At 39.9% G+C, this 23,552-nt stretch overlaps 1 protein-coding gene and 1 non-coding gene across 6 annotated transcripts in view; both read left to right on the top strand.

The window, feature by feature from the left end:
* The window catches only part of ATXN2 (ataxin 2), a 147,460-nt gene that overhangs the window by 29,697 nt on the left and 94,211 nt on the right, over positions 1–23,552 (top strand). For 4 of the 5 annotated variants that reach the window (NR_132311.2, NM_001310121.1, NM_002973.4 and 1 more), the window contains exons 2-5: positions 14,058–14,094; positions 15,760–15,819; positions 17,000–17,071; positions 17,547–17,697. Coding sequence is in view for 4 of the 5 variants with exons in the window: in NM_002973.4 (NP_002964.4) it covers positions 14,058–14,094; positions 15,760–15,819; positions 17,000–17,071; positions 17,547–17,697 (320 nt within the window). In the remaining variant the exon portion in view is untranslated. The remainder of the gene's footprint in view (positions 1–14,057; positions 14,095–15,759; positions 15,820–16,999; positions 17,072–17,546; positions 17,698–23,552) is intronic. The other variant, NM_001310123.1, reaches the window with a different exon arrangement.
* LOC124903094 (U7 small nuclear RNA) lies at positions 5,094–5,156 on the top strand. Its single transcript, XR_007063618.1, has one exon. It is a non-coding gene; the product is annotated as a U7 small nuclear RNA (small nuclear RNA).

Genomic DNA, 23,552 nt, shown 5'->3' with positions numbered 1-23,552 from the left:
GCCTAATGGCTGCAATATTGGACAGCATGACATAGGACATCTTCATCATTGTACAAAGTTCTCTTGGACAGCATGGGACTAGAGCCCTAAGATCCTTTTCTACCTGAGTTGTTTGGATTTTTTGGTGTGTCTAGGTTGGATCTAGTTGTTCATGGCTTCATGACCAAGCCTTTTATCCCTTTCTCTAGAGGGACTCAAGGGGTAAAGGCACTGAAGGGGTAAAACTTCATATGAAGAGTGTGGTGGTGGTGGTGGTGTTTTAAGACAGGGTCTCGCTCTGTCACTCAGGCTGGAGTCCAGTGGCATGATCCTGGCTCACTGCAGCCTCGACTTCCTGGGCTTAAGTGATCCTCCCACCTCAGCTCCCAAGTAACTGGAACTGTAGGCATGAGCCACCACACCTGCCTAATTTTTAAAACTTTCTGTAGAGACGAGATTTCGCCATGTTGTCCAGGCTGGTCTCAAATTCCTGGACTCACCTTGGCCTCCCAGAGTGCTGGGATTGCAGGTGTGGGCCACTGCGACTGGCCTTTTTTTTCTCCTTTACTACTCTAGTGTATGCTGGAATATGAGGAAATAATTATATTAGCTAGCAGTTATTAAACACTTAATAACATACCAGGCACTGTTTTAAGCTATGCGATCTGTATGGAATATTACTTAATTTCCACAACCTTATGAAAAGATACTATTTTTTTTCTTTTGAGAAGGTACTATTTTCATCTTCATTTCATAGATGTTGAAATTGAAACACAGAGAGCTGAAGTCACAGGATTAAGGCCACAGAGCTGAGAAGTGATGGAGCCGGAATTTGAACCCAAGCAATTAATGCTGATATTAGTTCTTGTGTGAATGGTAATTGTTTTGAAACAATGATCCTAGATGATTATATGACCGGATTAATCTGGCAGTTGTTCTGTGTGAATTTAGAGTTGCCTTCCCACCTCAGTTTCCTAAAAACAAAACAAAACAAAACAAAACAAAAAAAACTCTAGCTTCACTGTGTTTGGGTTGTCATGGCCTACCCCCTCTTGCCACCTCATTTGACTCAACTTTTTAGGGAGAAAATATTCAATACGTGGTATAGGATTTCCCTTTCTAATAATAATGTAAACAACAACAAGAAGTCTGAAATTGGAAGAACAAAATGACTCACCTAAGTGAGTTAACCTTAAGAGGTGGAACTTGATTTCTAGATTTTAGTTAATTGTCTAACTGATGTACTAAATATTAGTTACTTAAGTATTAAAACGGGTAGACATAATAGTTGGGGAGCTGCTGTAGAGGGGGTAGTTTGAGAAGGCTTCTTTCAGGAGGTGACATTTAAGTTGGTAACTAACAAGAAAGGGGCAGCCATGTGAATAGCTGGAGGGAAGAGCATTCTTACAGTTTTACTGGAAGGGGGTTAGAGGTATGTGGTACCCTTATGCCAAAGAAAATTAGTTACTTCTATACAACCAGTCTGATTCTAGAAACCTGGATCAATGAAATATTTTGATTATATAAAAAAATCTGTTACCCAGGTCTTGTTGAAATAGCATTAGAAACTACTGAAGGACATATAGAGGAGGAGTGTTGAAAAATGGTGATGGATGAGCAGAATGGTGAAAAATAAAAAGACATGAAGCTCTATAATTATATTGTATGGTGACAGTACCAATAGAGATTGCATGTTTTTTCTCCCCAGTTTTTTTTTTTGTTTTGTTTTTTGTTTTTGAGACAGAGTCTCACTGTGTCACTCAGGCTGGAGTGCATTGTCGTGATATTGGCTTACTGCAACCTCTGCTTCCTGGGTTCAAGCGATTCTCCTGCCTCAGCCTCCTGAGTAGCTGGGATTACAGGCATGTGCCACCACGCCCGGCTAATTTTTGTATTTTTATTTGAGAGGGGATTTCACCATGTTGGCAAGGCTGGTCTTGAGTTCCTGACCTCAGATAATCCACCTGCCTCAGCCTCCCAAAGTGCCGGGATTACAGGTGTGAGCCACTGCGCCCGGCCTCCCCCAGTTGTTGAAACAATAATGGAAGGTAATTTTATTCTTAGATTATTTAATGTTTTTCAGTTATCAGGATGTGTTAGATTGTTTGTGTATATTGTTTTGCTTGTTAATTAAGTAACACAGTGAATAAGACAGACAAACATACGAAAATGTACATTTATTTTATTTTTTTGAGACAGTCTGTTGCCCAGGCTGGAGTGCAGTGGCCCAATCTCGGCCCACTGCAACCTCTGCCTCCTGAGTTGAAGCGATTCTCTTGTGTCAGCCTCATGAGTAGCTGGGGCCATGGGTGCACGCCACCATACCCGGCTAATTTTTATATTTTTAGTAGAGATGGGGTTTCACCATATTGGCCAGGCTGGTCTCGAATTCCTGACCTCAGGTGATCTGCCCGCCTTGGTCTCCCAAAGTGCTGGGACTACAGGCATGAGCCACTGTGCCAGGCCATTTCATTTTTGGAACGTTCTTTTTTTTTTTTGAAATGGGGTCTCGCTCTGTCTCCCAGGCTGGAGTGCAGTGGCTCAATCTCAGCTTACTGCAACCTCTGCCTTCCGGGTTCAAGTGATTCTCCTGCCTCAGCCTCCTGAGTATCTGGGACTACAGGTGCATGCCACCACGCCAGGCTAATTTTTGTATTTTTAGTAGAGACGGGGTTTCACCATATTGGTGAGGCTGGTCTTGAACTCCTGGCTTCGTGATCTGCCCGCCTCAACTTCGCAAAGTGCTGGGATTACAAGTGTGAGCCACCACGCCCGGCCTGTTTCTGGAATATTCATAATCTTTTGTTGTCATTTCAACAGTGCTCACAGCAGCTTCACCAGGTGTAGATTCCATCTTAAGAAACCACTTTCTTTGCTTATCCATGAGAAGCAACACCTCATCTATTCAAGTTTTATCATGAGATTGCAGCAATTCAGTTACATCTTCTGACCCCACTTCTAATTTTAGTTCTCTTGCTTTTTTACCACATCTGCAGTTACTTGCTCTACTGAAGTCCTGAACCCCTCAAAATCATTCATGAGTATTAGAAGCAATTTCCTGGTTGGGCACGGTGGCTCATGCCTGTAATCCCAGTACTTTGGGAGGCCAAGGAGGGCGGATCACCTGAAGTCAGGAGTTCAAGACCAGTCTGGCAAACGTGGTGAAACCCCGTTTCTACTAAAAATACAAAAATTAGCGGGGATGTGGTGGCGGGCGCCTATAATCCCAGCTACTTGGGAGACTGAGGCAGGAGAATCGCTTGAACCTGGGAGGTGGAGGTTGCAGTGAGTTGAGATTGTGCCCTTGCACTCCAGCCTGGGCAACAGGAGCGAAACTCTATCTTAAAAAAAAAAAAAAAGAAAAGCAATTTCCTCTAAAACTCCTGTTAATGTTGATGTTTTAACCTCCTCCCATGCTCATGGATGGCATTCTCAGTGGCATCTAGAATGGTGAATACTTTTTAGAAAGTTTTCAATTTATTTTGCCATCAGAGAATGGCTATGAATGGCAGTAGTAGCCTTACAGAATGTATTTCTTTTTTTTTTTTTCTTTTTTTTTGAGATGGAGTTTTTTTTGCTCTTGTCACCCAGGCTGGAGTGCAGTGGCATGCTATCTCGGCTCACCGCAACCTCCGCCTCCCGGGTTCAAGCAATTCTCCTGCCTCAGCCTCCTGAGTAGCTGGGATTACAGGCATGCACCACCATGCCCACCTAATTTTGTATTTTTAGTAGAGGCGGGGTTTCTCCATGTTGGTCAGGCTGGTCTTGAACTCCCGATCTCAGGTGATCTGCCTGCCTCGGCCTTCCGAAGTGTTGAGATTACAGGCGTGAGCCACCGCGCCCGGCCGTATTTCTTAAATAAAATGGCTTAAACGTCAAAATTATCCCTTGATCCCTGGGCTATGGACTGATTCTTGTGTTAGCAGTTATGAAAACATTTATGTCCTTGTACATTCCCATCATAGCTTTTTGTCAATGAGAAGTAATTTTTTTTTTTTTTTTGAGACAGAATCTCACTCTGTTTCCCAGCGTGGAGTGCAGTGGCATGATCTCAGCTCAGTGCATCCTACAACTCTGAGGTTCAAGCAATTCTCGTGCCTCAGCTTACTGAGTAGCTGGGATTACAGGCGCCCACCACCACGTCTGGCTAATTTTTGTATTTTTAGTAGAGATGGGGTTTCACGATGTTGGCCAGGCTGGGCTCGAACTCCTGGCTTCAAGTGATCCACCTGCCTTGGCCTCCCAAAGTGCTGGGATTGTAGGTGTGAGCCACTATGCCTGGCCTAATTGGCCTAATTTCAATATTGTTATATCTCAGGGAATAGAGAGGCACGAGGAGAAAGAGAGACAAGCTGACTGCTGGTTCGTGGAGTAGTCATAACACACAACATTTATTAAGATTGCTGTCTTATATGGACCGTTTGTGGTGCCTTAAAAGAAATCAGGGTAACATCAACGATTACTGATTACAGATTACTATAACAGATACAATAATAATTGTAAATTATTATTTACAATTGTAAAATACAATCTTTTCTTTATTATTTACAATTATTGTAAAATACAATCTGATTACAGATTACTATAACGTATACAATAATAGTGGAAAAGTTTGAAAATATTGTGAGATTTATGAGAATGTGACACAGGCGCAAAGAGAGCACATGTTACTGGAAATACGGCACTAATGGACTTGCCCGACTCGGGGTTTCCACAGACGGTCAGCTTGTCAAAAATGCAGCATCTGTGAATTTCAATAAAGCAAAGCAGAATAAAATGAGGTATGCATGTATTGCCATCACATGTACACTAGTAAAATACGTTTTTTTTTTCAGTAGGTGGATCAACCTCAAATTTTAATATAAAGCATTACTTAAAGGAGAATATGGGGACATTCATGACATTTCTTATATGTACATAAAACTTCATGAAAATAATTTAATGCTATCCAGCAGTTTATTTTAGAAGTACTGGAGGCTAGGCATGGTGTCTTATGCCTGTAATCCCAGCACTTTGGGAGGCTGAGGTAGGAGGATCACTTGAGTTCAGGAGCTGGAGACCAGCTTGGGCAATATAGTGCGACCCCATCTCTACAAAAGAGAAAAGAAGTACTGGAGTGTTGCAGCTCTTACAGAATTTGTCTAGCAGGTTTTCCAGTCTTTACCAGAAATGCCCCCATGCAGAAGTAGTAAATACTGATTCATGTAAAATAATAAACAACTTTATCTTTCAGTTTTTAAAAGACAGGGTCTTGTAACGTTGCCCAGACTGGCCTTTAATTCCTGGGCTCAAGCGATCCTCTCACCTGAGCCTTTTGAGTAGCTGAGACTACAGGCTGCACCTCTGCACCTGGCTCTGCTTGATTTTTAATTGTTGTATTGCTGTTGCAGCTATGTTTTTTTTTTTCTTCAGTGTGAGGATGGGCAAACTTTTTATGTAAAGTCTCAGGTAATAAGTATTTTAGGCTCTAGGGCCATATAGCTTCTCTGTTGCATATCCTTTTTTTTTTTTTCCATTTCCCCTCAAATTCCTTTTACCATAAGCAACTCTTGAGGAACATAAAAATCATTCTTAGCCCAGAAGCCAGACCAAAACAGGTTGTGGGCTGTAGTGTCCTGACCCCTGATTTAAAGATTGATAGCTTTGAAATGGAAAGTTTTAACTTTCTTTTTTTTTCTTTCCCTTGTTCTGATTGGGCTGTTAATTCATTAGGTATTTACTCAGTGTGTATCATATGAGGCATGATTCCTCTGCTAATTTTGGTAGTGGTAGAAAGATACTTTTGCCAAGCTTGGTTGTTAGGTTTTCATTTGTCCAAGAGTTCCTGACCAAGTGTGAATGGATGTTGAAATCAAGGTGTTTCTTTGGCCACACAATGTGCCTTTGGGGGCTATATCTATGTGCTTCTGGTACCTTCTTTTAATTTTCACAAAGACACTGCTTGCCGACCACACTGTTTTGTCTAATGTGGGGCTATGACCCCCTGGAAGAGGCATCATTTTCTGATTTTCACAGAAGCATAATATGGTCAGGTGATGGTCCTGAGTAGTGGGTATATGACAGATACACTAGTAATTATAATACAGATCTAAACTGGAGAGTTGAAAACAGCATCGTATATTTGATTGAGATAATCGAAGGAAGACTTCCTGAAAAGATGGCATTTGAGTTTCAAGGCTGAGTAGGATTAAGTATTATTATTTAAAAAATGCCTTGGACAATGCATTAAATAGAGTTAACAAATCACATCACTTATAGTCTCCAATTAAAAACATTTTACTTAAACATAATTTTAGACTTTTAGAAAAATTGCAAAGATATTATAAAGAATTCTCCTATATATCTCACCTGTATTCTTCAAGTAACATTTTACCATATTCACCTTAACATTTTCTCTGTATTGGTAATTGTATATGTAAGATTTAATATAAAATAAAAATTCTTATTAAACATATGAGAGACATGATGCCTCTTTAGCCCTAAATACTTCAACTTGTATGTACTAATAACAAGGGCATTCTATTTCAAAACCACAGTACAGTTGTCAAAATAAGGAAATTAATAATTGTGTCAAACTGTTATTCTGTTTATAGACCTTCTAATGTCCTTTAAAACAATCAACAAATCAACATTTTTCTGGTCAAGAACCAGTAAATATGTATATTCTACATATATATATACACATATATATACACACATATATTCTACATATATATGTGGAATATACGTATTTACTCCCTCTGTCCAAGAACCAATCCAGGATTGTTACCTTCGGTTATCATGTATCTTTGGTCTCCTTTAATCCAAAGCAGTTTCTTTGTCTTTTATGACTTGACACTTTTGAAGATTACAGGTTATTTTGTAGACTGTCCCTCAACTAGGGTTTATCTGAGGTTTCCTTATGATTAGATTCAGATATTTATTTTTGGCAGGAATACAACAGAAATGATTTGTGTGTTTTTCTCATTGCATGATATCAGAAAGTGCATTGTATATATTTATCCCATTACTGGGGTTGTTAACTTTGATCACTTGGTTAGAGTTGTGTCTACTAAGTTTCTTCACTATAAAGTTATTTTTCACTTGGTCATTTCATCAGTATCTTGTGGGGAGTTACTTTGTGGTTATATAAATACTCTGTTTCTACTTTCCCTTACTATATTTAGCTTCTGTGGACACTTTTGCCTGAAACAGTTATTTACTATGGTGTTACCAAGTAGTGATGCCCTTTTCTTCCATCATTCTGTCTACATTTTTTTTTTTTTTTTTTTTTTTTTGAGATGGAGTTTCGCTCTTATTGCCCAGGCTGGAGTGCGGTGGCCTGATCTTGGCTCACTGCAACCTCTGCCTCCCGGGTTCAAGCAGTTCTCCTGCGTCAGCCTCCCGAGTAGCTGGGATTACAGACATGCGCCACCACTCCTGGCTAATTTTGTATGTTCAGTAGAGACAGGATTTTTCCATGTTGGTCAGGCTGGTCTCCAACTCCCGACCTCAGGTGATCCACCCACCTCAGCCTCCCAGAGTGCTAGGATTACAGGCGTGAGCTGCCACACCAGGCCTTCTTTTTCTCTTTTAAGAGATAGAGTCCTGCTTTGTCACCAAGGCTGGAGTGCAGTGGCATGATGATAGTTCACTGCAGCCTCAAACTCCTGGGCTCAAGTGAACCTCCCATCTGTAGCTGGGACTACAGGCACCTGCATAACACCTGACTGTTTTTTAAAACTATTTTAGAGATGGGGTCTTGCGAAGTTGCTCAGGATGGTCTTGAACTCCGGGTCTTAAGTGGTCCTTCTGCCTCAGCCTCTGGATTAGTTGGCATTACAGGCATGAGCCATTGTACCTGGCAAGTGCATATTTTCTTTTTTTTTTTTTAAGGTGGAGTCTCGAGGCCGGGCGCAGTGGCTCACACCTGTAATCCCAGCACTTTGGAAGGCCGAGGTGGGTGGATCAAGAGGTCAGGAGATCGAGACCATCCTGGCTAACATGGTGAAACCCTGTCTCTACTAAAAATACAAAAAATTAACTGGGCATGGTGGCACACGCCTGTAGTCCCAGCTACTCGGGAGGCTGAGGCAGGAGAATTGCTTGAACCCAGGAGGTGGAGGTTGCAGTGAGTCAAGATCATGCCACTGCACTCCAGCCTGAGCGACAGAGGTAGACTCTGTCTCAAAAAAAACAGAAAGACGGAGTCTTGCTCTGTCACCCAGGCTGCATTGCAGTGGCATGAACTCCGCCTCCTGAGTTCAAGCAATTCTTGTGCCTCAGCCTCCCAAGTAGCTGGGATTACAGACATGTGCCACCACACGTGGCTAATTTTTATAGTTTTAGTAGAGGTGGAGTTTCACCATGTTGGCTAGGCTGGTCTTGAACTCCTGACTTCAGGTGATCCACCCGCCTTGGCCTCTTGAAGTGGTGGGATTATGAGTGTGAGCCACTGTGCCCAGCCAAGTGAGTATTTGCTTATGTAGTATTTTAATTTTATGATTTTTTTTTCTTTGAGACGGAGGTTTGCTCTTGTTGCCCAAGCTGGAGTACAGTGGTGCCATCTCGGCTCACTGCAGCCTCCACCTCCTGGGTTCAAGCCGTTCTCCTCCCTCAGCCACCTCCTCCTGAATAGTTGGGATTATAGGCGCCTGCCACCATGCCTGGCTAATTTTTTGTATATCTAGTAGTGATGGAGTTTGAGCATGTTGCCAGGCTGGTCTTGAACCTCTGACCTCAGGTGATCCACCTGCCTTGGCCTCCCAAAGTGCTGGGATTAAGGCATGAGCCACCATGCCCGGCCAGAGACTGTTCATTTATTTTTTTTTTTTGAGGCGGAGTCTCGCTGTATTGCCCAGGCTGGAGTGCAGTGGCACAATCTCGGCTCACTGCAAGCTCCGCCTCCCAAGTTCACACCATTGTCCTGCCTTAGCCTCCTGAGTAGCTGGGACTACAGGTGCCTGCCACCACGCCTGGCTAATTTTGTTTTTGTATTTTTAGTAGAGATGGGGTTTCAGCCCGCCTTGGCCTCCTGGAGTGCTGGGATTACAGGCGTGAGTCAGGGCGCCTGGCCAATCATACCTTCTTTTACTGCATTAATTATGGTTTTCTTTCGTTCTTAAAACATGTTTATAGTGACCACTTTTGAAATTCTTATTAAGTCAGACATCTGGTTATACAAGCAATTTCTATTGCCTACTTCTTTTTCCAGTGGGTGGGGTTATACTTTCCTGTGTCTTAGCTTGTCGTTTTTTTTTTTGTTGTTGAAAACTGGACATTTTAAGTAATGTAGTAACTCTGGATACCTCATTAGCCTATGGTTGGGGGTGGTGGTTGTTACTGTTATTTGCTTATTTGTCTAATGACTGGCTGAATGATTTTAGTGTTCTATCCTTCTTCCCTCCCTGTACAGTGTGACACGTCTGATGCTAGTTTTCTTGGGATGCAGCCTTGGGTATGCCTACCATCACTCTAGAATCACAGTGATTTTGGCATGGCTTTGTCTCTTTTCCTGACTGTACCCAGCTGTTAAGCTACACTAATTACTAGGTGATGCTGTGTAGTCATTTCTTGGTGTCCTTGGGGGATTGGTCCCAGGACCCCCCCGTTGGATATAAAAATTTATGGATGCTCTAGTCCCTCATAAAATGGCACAGTATTTGCATATACCGGTGCACATCCTCCTGTATGCTTTGTCATTTCTAGATTACTTATAATACCTAATATGGTGTAAACACTAGGTAAATAGTTGTTATATATTTTTTATTTGTCTTATTTTTATTGTATTTATTTTTAAGTGTTTTTAATCTCGAGTGATTGAATCTGAGGATGTGAAATCTGCAGATATGGAGGGCCTGCATTGTTTTCCGTGGAGCTTTGGGCCTAAACTGCTCCACAGACTGATCTGATCAAATTTGCGCTTCTTTGAAGGGATAGTTTCTGAGATCAGTGTTTGAAATTTGTTCCAATCCACAGAGGAGTCCTCCCAGCTCTCTTTCCCTAGTTCTGGCCACCAAACTAGACAACTACAATTTAGCACTTATCTCCAATGATTCTCCTCCTACCAAGTGCCTTTGAAAGCATCATTAACTCTTTCATACCTTGTTGCAAATGAAATTTCTTTGGGAAGAGATTGTGAGTTTTTTTTCTCCTAAATTATGGTGCAATATAAGTAATATACCATTTTAACAATTTTAAGTGTATTAAGTGTTTTTTTTTTTTGTAGTTTTTTTTTTTTTGTTTTTTGAGATAGTCTTGCTCTGTCGCCCAGGCTGGAGTGCAGTGGCACGATCTCGGCTCACTGGAACCTCCACTTCCCGGGTTCAAGTGATTCTCTGGTCTCAGCCTCCCCAAATATCTGGGATTACAGGTGTGCACCACCACGCCTGGCTAATTTTTCTATTTTTAGTAGAAACGGGGTTTCACCATATTGGTCAGGCTGGTCTTGAACTTCTGAGCTCGTGATCCACCCACCTCGGCCTCCCAAAGTGCTGGGATTACAGGCCTTAGCCACCACACCTGGCCTATGCATTGCTTTTATATGTATTTTAAAATTCATAAGTTCTCCTCCTATGATGTTTTTGTCCCATGTGATTTATTTGTTAAACCGTCATCTTTGGCCGGGCGTGGTAGCTCACGCCTGTAATCCCAGCACTTTGGGAGGCTGAGGTGGGTGGATCACAAGGTTAAGAGATCAAGACCATCCTGGCCAACATGGTGAAACCCCGTCTCTACTAAGAATACAAAAATTATCTGGGCATGGTGACGCGTACCTGTAGTCCTAGCTACCTGGGAGGCGGAGGTTGCAGTGAGCCAAGATCGTGCCACTGCACTCCAGCCTGGCGACAGAGTGAGACTCTGTCTCAGAAAAAAAAAAAAACAAAAAACTGTCATTTTTTATGTTGCATTTACTGCATTCTGGATTTAAACTGTGAGGAACCTCATGGTATCAGTTAATATATTCTTCCATCTTAATGTTTCTCGTAAACTGGTAGATCTGTAAACTTGATTAGGTCTATCCTATTGTATCACATCAGAAGCAGAAGGTGCTTTTTTTTTTTTTTAAGGGAAATTGTGTGAAAGTAGACAGAATGGTAAAGTGAACCCCTGCACACCTATCACCCAGCTTTAATAGTTATCAGCTCATACCATTCTTGTTTGATTTACAACCCCATTCATTTCTCCCTTCTGTATTATTATTATTTAGTTAATTATTTTTTGAGACAGGGTTTTGCTCTGTCACCAATGCTGGAGTGCAGTGGCATAATCACAGCTCACTGCTGTCTTGACCTCCTGGGCTCAAGTGATCCTCCCACCTCACCCTACCAAGTAGCGGGGACCACAGGCGTGTGCCACCATGCCTGGCTAGTTTTTTATTTTTTGTAGAAACAGGGTTTTGCTTTGTTGCCCAGACTGATCTCAAACTCCGGCACTCAAGTGATCCTCCTGCCTCAGCCTCCTAAAGTGCTGGGATTACAAGCATGAGCTACCACATTCAGCATGTAAATTTCTTTATATTAATTTGACTGGCATTTTAAGTCACACTTGAATTTCATATTTGGCAACTATTAAAAGCATAGAGTCCTGGATATTAGTGTTTTGTTAAACCTGATCTATCTAATCATAAATATACTTAGGTCTAAAATATGCTCTTGGCCTTTGTTTATTGCGGTTCAGTATTTGTTACTATATTAAATAGTAAAATATTTGGTTTGAGATACTAATGAAAAGATTAAAAGTAAAGCATAACTTGAATGGATACAAAAAGAAACAAGAATTTAGACTTCAGTGGATTTCAGAGAATACTGCTTCGATATGCTAACATTCCTGTTGGGTGTCCAACCGTGTCATAGATCAGTGGAAATTAGTGGTTTCTGCACTTTACTGTACTGTTTTTTTATATGATAATATTTTCCTGGTTGAATGATTCGTTCTTTTGAGTAAACTCCATGGTCAAACAATTACTTTTTATTAGTCAAAGATGTAACCACATAATCACTAAAAAGAACAGTGTGACTTATTTAAAGGGGATTATGTTTTTAAGTCTTTTATATAGCTTTGTAGGGAGGCCATATGAGTTTAAGGACAGTTCGTGGCATTTGTTCAAGGTTTTGTAACTTGGCATCTCAGCAGCCACCAGGATACCAGATCATCGTTCTAAGTAAGATTTAGGCATTTTAGCCTTCATGTACAGACTATAAGTACACCCCCCCACACCCCTACCAAAACTGTAAATTCAAATGATGTTTGAAAAAGCATAGAATTTTTGTTAGGCGAGGTAGTTTATTCCTTGTGATACAGTTCCAGAGAGGCAGCATAACCTAGGAATGAAAAACTTAGACGTGGAATCAGATACACCTGGTTTAAATACCAGCTCTACTGCTCATGAACTGGATGATTTTGGTCAAGATACTTGACTGCTGAGGTTCAGTTTCCTCACCTGTAAAGTAGAGGTGATAGATTAGACATGTTGCATGTGAAGTACTTAGTATGGTGTCTGGTTTTGTAGTAAGATCTATAAAAGATAAATTATTAGTCATATTCCTTAGACTTCAGGAATTTATCTCTGTGCCATGTTTGAGGCAAACAGTTACAGAATTAGAATGTTAGAAATGAAAGGAATCCTAGATGTCATTTAATTCAAGTCCATTGTTTTCTGGATGAGAGAAGAAAGTGAGGAAAAGTGACAGAGTTGGAGACCAAGCTAGGACTGGCCTCAGAATGTTAAGAGTACTCTTCTAGGGATCGACCAGTCGTGTTACTAGACTTTTTGGATCTGAATTGTGCTTTTCCTTGAATGTTTTGAATTTTGGCTTGAGTGTTGTGATTATTTTATTAAAATGAGATTCCAGTCCTATTGTCATGACTAATGTTTATGAGAAATATAACATTTCACTTTAATGATGTTTTTTAATTATTCTAAGGGGCCTAATCTTTTTCAGTGGAATAAGCTTTAGGTTGTATTATATTCTATAATTCACTTGAAAATAGAATTCATCTTTACTTGACAGCCAAATTTTGTGTACTGCATCTTTTCTGAGGGAGAGAGTTGGCAAGGAAAGGCACTTGTTACAACGATCCACACATATAGACGCATATTATTTAGAAATGAAAGTGCTTTGAATGATTTAGCTTATTTTCAGTTTTTTTTTTTCTGCAGTTGTAATCATATGACCTGTTTTTCTTTCTTTTTTTTTTTTTGAGACAGAGTCTTGCTCTGTCACCCCGGCTGGAGTACAATGGGGCGGTCTCAGCTCACTGCAACCTCCACCTCCCAGGTTCAGGCGATTCTTCTGCCTCAGCCTCCCTAGTAGCTGGGACTACAGGCGCATGCCACCACACCTGGCTAATTTTTTTATTCTTAGTAGAGATGGGGTTTCACTGTGTTAGCCAGGATGGTCTCGAACTCCTGACCTTGTGATCTGCCCACCTCTGCCTCCCAAAGTGCTGGGATTACAGGCATGAGCCACTGCGCCCGGCCCATATGACCTGTTTTTCTTTTATAGATGGGGGAGAAATATGGGAAGTGACTTGGTGTCAGTCATCTGTGTTGGTTAAATCAAGAATATAATCCGTGTTTTGCTTCTGAATAGCTCTTTATAACAGTGATTGGTTACTTTGGGAGTAAAGATTATTATTTAGAGACAGAGTCTTGCTTTGTCGCCCAGGCTAGACTGCAGTGGAATGATCGTAGCCTACTGCAGCCTCAGACTCCTGGACTCTGGTGATCCTGCCTCAGCCTCCTGAGTAGCTAGGACTAGAGGTGCATGCCACATGCCTGGCTATAATTATTATTAATTTACGTTTAGCATTAGTTTTTTTCTTCCAGTAGGCTATTTTACTTTATTTATTTGATTTTGATGAAGTTTGATTATTTCTAGTTTGCTTCCTTCTATGACCCCTACCTGTTGTGGGTCTCCAGGCAAGCAGTGCATAGGTAGAGCCATCCTTAGGTAGCCTTTAGACTTAATATTAGGTGAGCTCTCCCCACAGATAGCCTCTCCTTTATTTGAATGGAATTATATTTTAAGTTTGGAAATATTTTTCAGCTTATTTAGCCTGTTGAATTTAATAAAAATAATATTTAATCTTTTCAGAGGTCGAAACAGTAACAAAGGACTGCCTCAGTCTACGGTGAGTAACTTTAATGTTACTTATTGGGGAAAATTAGTAGCTAAAACATGATCTCTAACCACAGACCAAATGCCAAGGCAAAAGATTCCCTTCTTTTGAATTTTGTCATAGATAACTTGACTGTTTAAGTATGTTATTAGCCTATATGTGTTTTTTTAATGACTCTGTATAAAATGTACAATTACTTGTTGTATTAGTCCATTCTTACACTGCTAATAAAGATATACCTAAGACTGGGTAATTTATAAAGGAAAGAGGTTTAATTGACTCATGCTCTGCATTGCTGGGGAGGCCTCAGGAAACTTACAATCATGGTGGAAGGGGAAGCAAACACATCCTTCTTCACATAGCGACAGGAGAGAGAAGTGCTGAGCAAAGCAGGGAAAGCCCCTTATAAAACCATCAGATCTCCTGAGAACTCACTCACTATCATGAGAGCAGCGTAGGGGAAACTGCCCCCATGATTCAGTTATCTCCACCTGGTCTTGCCCTTGACACACGAGAATTATTATAATTAAAGATAAGATTTGGGTGGGGACACAGAACCAAACCATATCATTTGTAAATAGTATTTTTGTCACGTGTAATAACAAGAACAAGTCGCTTGTTCTTTTCTAAATGACTAAGTGCAAATCTAAGTGAAAAACCTCCAAAAGATACGTAGAACACCAAGAGTGGAGTCTGCAGAGTTCTTTATGCTTTTTATTTTGAATTAATGTGCTTTTTTTCTGCTGCTTTCATTTTTCTCCTTTGGCTTTCTGGTCTTAAATTTTGGAATGTTATCAATGAAATTGAACCGGACATGAAGGGCAGAAACTATAAGTCCCACATGATGGAAGAAATAAATGAGAAGCTATCACAAATTTTTGAGACTTTGCCTTTATTAGATTGTTTTACAAGAATCAGGAAGATATACACGTATATGGTAGTAATATGGAGTAGTGTGGTTGATCAGACTTAAGCACTGTCACTGATGCTGATATGCTGGGAGAACCTAGTCAGGGTTCTTCTATGAAGGTATGACCTGGCTTCCTACCCCATTTATTTATACTTCACCCTTCTTAGGGTACATTTCTGTGAGTTTTAACAATTGCATACAATCAGTGTAACTACCACCACAATCAAGTTAATAGAACAGTTTCATTGCCCACCAAAATCCCTCAAATCACTTTTCAGTGAACCCTCCTCTCTCTCCAACCATTGATTTGTCTTCCATCCTTACGGTTTGTGTCCTTCCTCCTCTATGGAAGTTTACTCTTGCTTTTTTATGTCATGTTTAGTCAAAACACCATTAGTTGGTTTGACTGATAACACTTGAAAACCTGACCTTCTGTTCCTTCTGTTCTCTATGGAAGCAAAATATTAAATAAACAAAATCTTCCCTTAATACATGTAAGATATCATAAACCTAACTAAACATTTTGCAACAAATAATAAACGTTAGCTTTATATGCAAATGTAAATACAGGCTGAGCATCCCTAATCGGAAATGCTCCAAAATTTCATATTTTGAATTAGGGATGTTCAAGCACTAAGTATAATGCAAATATCCCCAAATCCGAAAAAAATCCGCAGTCTAAAATACTTCTGGTCCCAAGCATTTTAGATGAGGAAGATTCAGTTTGTACTAATTTCTAATAGTTTTTTTTTTTTTTAATATTCCAGATTTCTTTTGATGGAATCTATGCAAATATGAGGATGGTTCATATACTTACATCAGTTGTTGTAAGTTATTAGATTATTGGGGATAAACTGCCTTGGGGGTAGAATAAAGTAATTCCATGAAGTTAAAATGTGGATAAATGATTGTCAAAGTAACATTGCTTAGATCATGTTTAGTCAGGATGATTTAGAGAAATAGATTAGAACTCCTTTTATCCAGTCTAATATAATTCATTGTAAAAGTACAGTTGGTCCTCTGCATCTGTGGGTTCCATATTCATGGATTCAGCCAACCTTGGATCAAAAATATTTGTTAAAAAGGCCAGGCACAGTGACTCACGCCTGTAATCCCAGCACTTTGGGAGTTTGAGGTGGGCAGATGGCTTGAGCTCACAAGTTTAAGACCAGCCTGGGCAACATGGCAGAACTCCGTCTCTACAAAAAGTAAAAAAACTAGCCGAACGTGGTGGTACGTGCCTGTAGTCCTAGTGACTTGGGAGGCTGACGTGGGAGGATTGTTTGAGCCTGGGAGGTGGAGGTTTCACTGAGCTGAGATAATGCCCCTGCACTCAGCCTGGTCAACAGTGCCAGACAGACCCCTTCTCAAAAAAAAAAATTTTTTTTTTTTTTTTTTTTTTTTTTTTTTTTGAGAAAAAAGAGGCATGGTTGCGTCTGAACCAAAGATGTACGGACGTTTTTCTTGTCATTATTCCTAAAACAATACAGTATGACAATTTACATAGCATTTACATTATATTAGGTATTACAAGTAATTTAGGGATAGTTTAAAGTATTTGGGAGAATGTGCTTAGTTATATGCAAATACTATTACATTTTATGTAAGTGACTTAAGTATTATGTAATTCGGTATCTGAAGGAGGTCCTGGAACCAGTCCCCTACCAATAACAACAGATAGCTGTATTCTTGTTAACCCTGCTGTGTGTGTAAAATAATGTTAGTAGTTGATTGTCTTTTGTACATTATTTTGTCACTTAAAATAGCTGGGGTCAGAAATGTTTGACTTCAGTATTAAAATTCGTACTGCAAACTCTGAGTAGAGCCTCCTGAAGAATTTCAAGAGTTCAGTGTATTGTTAATGTTTTGAAATTTTTTTATTGTTTTGTTAGTGAATACCTAATATTGAATGAAGCCTGATGAGGTATAAAAAGTAAAATGAAAACAAATATCCCTGGTGACCGGGTAGTATACTGTTTCTTTGATAAATAAATTATATGTTTTTAGGGCTCCAAATGTGAAGTACAAGTGAAAAATGGAGGTATATATGAAGGAGTTTTTAAAACTTACAGTCCGAAGGTAATTTTTACTTTTTTTCTTTTTCTTACAAAGTAAAAGAACATTTTCATAGTCAGTGTTTTACCTAGTTTTTAAAGCCACTTTGAATGATTTTACTTCTCAGTTTCAAATACTGATTATTTTATAGACTGGTTTGTGTAATCAGAGAGGCTTCTTGATGTGTGTGCTTATTAAAATATTTCAACCATTTTTAAGCATTGTGAGCTAATAGAGGGATGTGGTGGTTTGTTTTTTCCTCTTAAAAATTATTATTAATGTACTTAAGACAAACCATAGAAACAAAAAACATTTAGATATGAGGATTTTTAAATGATGGAATGGATAATAGATCATATGCCTGGGAAAAAGGGTATGATTCTCTTGAGATTATTTTTGTCAAAGGCATATAAGAACTGGTACCTTGATGAGCTAAAGAATTCCTAACAAATTTTATTTTGTAAAGGTTTGGAGTACTTACTTGTGTTTTTCATTTTAGTGTGATTTGGTACTTGATGCCGCACATGAGAAAAGTACAGAATCCAGTTCGGGGCCGAAACGTGAAGAAATAATGGAGAGTATTTTGTTCAAATGTTCAGACTTTGTTGTGGTACAGTTTAAAGATATGGACTCCAGTTATGCAAAAAGAGGTGGGTTTTGATTTCCTAAATATGCCTCATGGTTTATTAGATTTATTCAAGCAAAGATTTTCACAGTGATCTTACAAACTTTTTTTAAAGAAATATCTGGGCTGGGTATGGCGGCTCATTCCTGTAATCTTAGCACTTAGGGAGGCTGAGGCGGGTGGATCACCTGAGGTCAGGAGTTCGAGACCAGCCTGGCCAACATGGCGAAACCCCGTCTCTACTAAAAATACAAAAATTTATTTTTGTGTGTGGTGGCGTGCGCCTATAGTCCTAGCTACTAGGGAGGCTGAGACAGAATTGCTTGAACCCAGGAGGCAGAGGTTGCAGTGAGCTGATACCGCACCACTGCACTCCAGCCTGGGTGACAGAGCAAGACTCCGTTTCAAAAAAAAAAAGAAAGAAAAAAGAAATATCTACTTTCTAGAATAGCCCAAGTAAGGTAATTTTTTAGAAAAATGAGAATGTTAATGCATTTTTGTTGGAAAACAATTAGAACTTTAGAGAAAAATTAAATAGAGTTTTTGTGATCTCTTAAAAAATTAGTTTGTAAAGCATTTTCTACAGTTTTGTGGTCAAGAATGCTACTGATTATATTCAACTGAAAATTTCTTGTCCCATTTGGCCTACAATGCTTTAGTTTATAAGTGGGCATGTGGCAAATCTGGAAAGAAATCAAAGTATAAGGCTAAGGAAGAAAGGTAGAGAACGGTTGGTAGAAAACAATTGTCTAATGAAAATGAAAAAGGGTGAAGAAGTAGAACATACGTATTTTAAAAATATTCAGAGTATGAGACAAGGTTTTGAGAATTTAAAAGCGATTATGTAGTTATATTAAAAATTTAGTCTCTTTTTAAGTGTCCATTGATGAACAAAGTGGGAATTCCTGTTACTCATTTGCAAGGCATTATTGAGTGTTCAGTAACACGTTGCAAGGCACTTCTGGGCAATCCTGAACTTGGTTCTCAAATTCTTTTTTTTTTTTTTTTTGAGACGGAGTCTTGTTCTGTCCCCTGGGTGGAGTGCAGTGGCACGATCTCGGCTCACTGCAGCCTCTGCCTCCCAGGTTCAAGCGATTCTCCTGCCTCAGCCTCCTGAGTAGCTGGGACTACAGGCGTGTGCCACCACACCAAGCTAATTTTTGTATTTTTTGTAGAGACAGGGTTTCACCATGTTGGCCAGGATGGTCTCGATTGTTTGACCTCGTGATCCGCCCGCCTCGGCCTCCCAAAGTGCTGGAATTACAGGCATGAGCCACTGCACCCAGCCGGTTCTAAAATTCTTTTATTTATTTGTATATGCCAAATTCTGTAGTGAAATACGTAATTCTGTTGTAAATTGTAGTTCAGTACAATTTGATTTTCACTATTCAAATCTATACCAAAAGCTGTTTTTATTGTTGGGCTGATTCTTCTACACTGTTACTTGGAAATAATAATATACCAGGATTCTTTCTCTTAGACTTAGGAGTCTTTCTCTTTGCTTGCTTTTTCAGAGGCTAACAGTACTGGGTATTCTTTAACTGTCTTGATATGCTGATGAAAGCACAGTGTTCTGTTTTTGAATCTTCTCAAATGTCCTTGTCTTTGATTCACAACTTTTTGTCTTAAGAGGCCTTCAGCATCCCATACAAGGAAACAAGTCTTTTTTTAGCTGCTACCTTTGGAGTTGATTTTGTTTATGTCTAGGAGCACTAAATTATTTATACTTATACTATTGAAATATTCCTCTGTTATAAATTCAAAAATTGACTTTGGAAGATAAAATTTTAGTTGAATTTAATACATAGCACTCTGGAAAGAGTATTGGCCACAACAAAAAAAAAGGTTCCCTACTCTATTGGATACCAGGTCATTTAACAGCCATTTACGGTATGCATTGTCTTTTTGTTTTTATGATGAATTGATATTTCCCAAATGTGGAAGAGTGAATATTACTTTGAGATGTTTGTGATAGTCCATTCCTTGCTCCTCTTCAAAATTAATGTCATTAAATTTTTATTACTTTATTAGATCTTCATTTCTCAGATAATTTTAGTTCATTATAGAAAGGCAAGAAAATACAGATCAGAGTGACAACTTTGAAAATCTCACTCTACTCATAAGGGGATGGGTGTATTTTGCTATATATTACAAAATTAGTTTTCTTGATGAGGACATCCACTATTGGAGTAATTTCAGGTATCTTATTTTTTCTTTTCTCTCTCTTTTTTTTTTTTTTTTTGGAGACGGAGTTTCGCTCTGTTGCCCAGGCTGGAGTGCAGTGGCCTGATCTCGGCTCACCGCAACCTCTGCCTCCTGGGTTCAAGCGATTCTCTTGCCTCAGCCTCCCGAGTAGCTGGTTACTGAGGCATGTGCCACCATGCCCGGCTAATTTTTGTATTTTTAGTAGAGACGGGGTTTCACTATGTTGGCCAGGCTGGTCTTGAACTCCTGACCTTGTGATCCTCCTGCCTTGGCCTCCCAGAGTGCTGGGATTATAGGCGTGAGCCACCACGCCTGGGCAGGTATCTTATTTCAAAACTTACAGTGGTTTAGTGAATTATACAATTGCGTCCAGTGCGTAGTATCCTGAAAATAGTATTAAGTCATGTGTTTAGGACATCAGGTCTCTTAAGCTAAGACTATCCAGGCAGAAATTGCCCTCTTCTATAAAAGAAGAAAAGTATTAATTAGGAAGTACTATCAGTATGGAGAAAACCATTTTAGAATTATTAATTGGCATGGTTTCCTTCTTTTTTTTTTTATTTCGAGATGGAGTCTCACTCTATTTCCCAGGCTGGAGTGCAGTGGTGCGATCTCGGCTCACTGCAACCTCTGCCTCCTGGGTTTAAGCGATTCTCCTGCCTCAGCCTCCCGAGTAGCTGGGATTATAGGCACATACCACCATGCCCTGCTAATTTTTTTTTTTGTTTGTATTCTTAGTACAGACTGGGTTTCACCATGTTGGCCAGGCCGCATGGTTTTCCTTAATAACAAAATTAAGGCATTTATTACTGCATCTAGATTTTTTTTATTTTTTATTAGAGACTTACTCAGATTACTCCCAAAGTAAAGGAAGGTATGGTTTAATCAATGCTTCTTAATGCTGGGTTCACGTTTAGTCACCTGGGGAGTTTTTAAAAATGTTCTCACTTCTAGGGATCCTGGTTTAATTATAATTAGCCTGGGTGAGGCTCTGGACAGTCAGGGTGTGAGCTATGGGTTTCATGTGATGAGATCCCAGGAGTGGCTCTGTTCTGTGGCCTTGAGAATTTGTGCTTTCTAGGCCAGGTGCGGTGGCTCACTCCTGTAATCTCACTTTGGGAGACCAAGGTGGGCAGATCATTTGAGGTCAGGAGTTCGAGACCAGCCTGGCCAACATGTTGAAACCCCGTCTTTACTAAAAAAGTAAAAAATTAGCGGGACGTGATGGCACATGTCTATAATCCCAGCTACTTGGGGAGAGGCTGAGGCAGAAGAATCGCTTGAACCCGGGAGGCAGAGATTGCGAGATCATGCCACTGCACTCCAGCCTGGGCAACAGAATAAAAAAAGAATTTGTGCTTTATTTTCTTGCCTCACAGTCCCCTTTCTGTCTCAGAATTGGCAACTGCCTGAAATAGTCTCTGCTGTTATCATTTGATAGTACTTTTCCACATCTTGAATGGATAGATAGAGTGTTTTTTATAATAGAAGTGGATGAATGATTAGAGTATACTAATATGACATTGTATTTTCCTAAAAGATATGAATTGATTTCATTTCTGAGCTTTTATAATTCTCTTCTGTAATAGTCTGTCAAATTATTAAGGTTGATAATATTAACTAAAATTTGAGTGCATATTCTATGTGCCAGACTCTGTGCTAACAGATTTACCTACATTTGTTCACATAATCATCACAAGTTGTTTCTGTAGTAGATACAGCTATTATCCACGTCATAGATGAGGAAACAGGCATATTTAGGAAACTTGCTAAAGTGAGGACACAAATCTAGCTTTTCTACTCTAACTCATGTTCTTAACATTATACTGCAGTGACATAAATTATGTGGTTTGGTTTGTTGTTTATCTCAGTTGTCATAAGTCGAATTAATGTTTGTTTGTTTGTTTTGAGACAGAGTCTTGCTCTGTCGCCCAGGCTGGGTACAGTGGCGTGATCTTGGCGCACTGCAACCTCCACCTCCTGGGTTCAAGCAGTTATCTTGCTTCAGCCTCCCTAATAACTGGGATTACAGGCACGTACCACCACACCCGGGTAATTTTTGTATTTTTAGTAGAGATGGGGTTTTACCATGTTGGCCAGGCTGATTTCAAGCTCCTGACCTTAGGTGATCCACCCACCTGGGCCTCCCAAATTGCTGGGATTGTAGGCATGAACCACTGTGCCCAGCCAGTAAGTTCCATGGTTGTTAAAGGATTTCTCCACAAATAAAGCTAAAAGTAAAAAAAAAAAAAAAAAAAAAAAATTCTCAAGCAATATAAGATGCAGACTATTATGTTGTTCAAGTTTTTTTTTTTTTTTTTTAATCTTTGGCTTTATTTTTGGGGAAACCTTTTTTTTCTTTTTTGTTTTCCTTGGGACGGAGTTTTGCTCTTGTCGCCCAGGCTGGAGTGCAATGGTGCAATCTTCGCTCACTGCAACCTCCGCCTTCTGGGTTCAAGCGATTCTCCTATCTCAGCCTCCCGAGTAGCTGGGATTACAGGCATGTGCCACCATGCCCGGCTAACTTTGTATTTTTAGTAGAGACTGGGTTTCTCCACGTTGGTCAGGCTGGTCTTGAACTCCTGACCTCAGGTGATCCACCTGCCTAGGCCTCCCAAAGTGCTGGGATCACAAGCGTGAGCCACCGCGCCCAGCCAGGGAAACCTTTATTTTGAGGCGGAGTCTCGCTCTGTCACCCAGGCTGGAGTGCAGTGGCGTGATCTCAGCTCACTGCAACCTCTGCTTCCTAGGTTCAAGCAATTCTTCTGCCTAAGCCTCCCGAGGAGCTGGGATTATAGGCGTCTGCCACCATGCCCAGCTAATTTTTATATTTTTAGTAGAGACGGGGTTTCACCATATTGGCCAGGCTCTTCTCAAATTCCTGACCTCATGATCCACCCACCTTGGCCTCCCAAAGTGCTAGGATTACAGGCGTGAGCCACCACACTCGGCTGCTGGGGAAACCTTTTAACATGAGTAAGGTCAGTGTGACTTTTAAGTTCTTGATGCTAACATCATTGATTTCAATAAAGTTTAAAAGTTATATTCATGCATATATGCAAATGAATAAAAGGCTTTGAAATAGTGACTTCTTACGGTACAGTGAATAAGTTTCCTTTGGTCTCTTGAATGTTATACATGTTCCAGTTTGATTTACTGAGAAACTGAAAGTACCTTTACGTCATATGAGCTGTGAGTCACCTTGGCACATTCATAATTAGAAGAGACCATCAGATTATCATTGGAAAATCAGTTTGTATTTATCCTTTATTTGAATTCCAGTGCAGACAGATCTGAGGTTCTCTTCATTTTGCTAAAACTTCTTAGGGCCTTCAGTCGCTTTTGGCTCTGTATTCGTGTATCTTTGGAATTGTCCTGTTATCTCTGCTTGTTTTTTACTTGATTTTCCATCCATTTCCAGTATTCCTTTCTCCTCTATTTTTTTCCTTCATTTTCTTTCTGCTCTTCCTGTTGCGCCATTATTCATGTTTTCCTCTTTACTCCAACTCAACTATGGCTTTACTTCTGTTTCCTTATTCCATTGTTCCTCATACTTTTTCCTACTGCTTCATTTTCTTTGCAGTATTCTCAGCCTAGATGATAGGGGTCAGCAAATCTGCTCATCAGTAAATAAATTTTATTGTAGCATAGCTATGCCCATGCGTTTGTGCATTG

Source organism: Homo sapiens, chromosome 12 (assembly GCF_000001405.40).
Source record: "Homo sapiens chromosome 12, GRCh38.p14 Primary Assembly".
Classification (NCBI taxonomy): Eukaryota; Metazoa; Chordata; class Mammalia; order Primates; family Hominidae; genus Homo; species Homo sapiens.
This window is presented reverse-complemented; position numbering and strand designations above follow the sequence as displayed.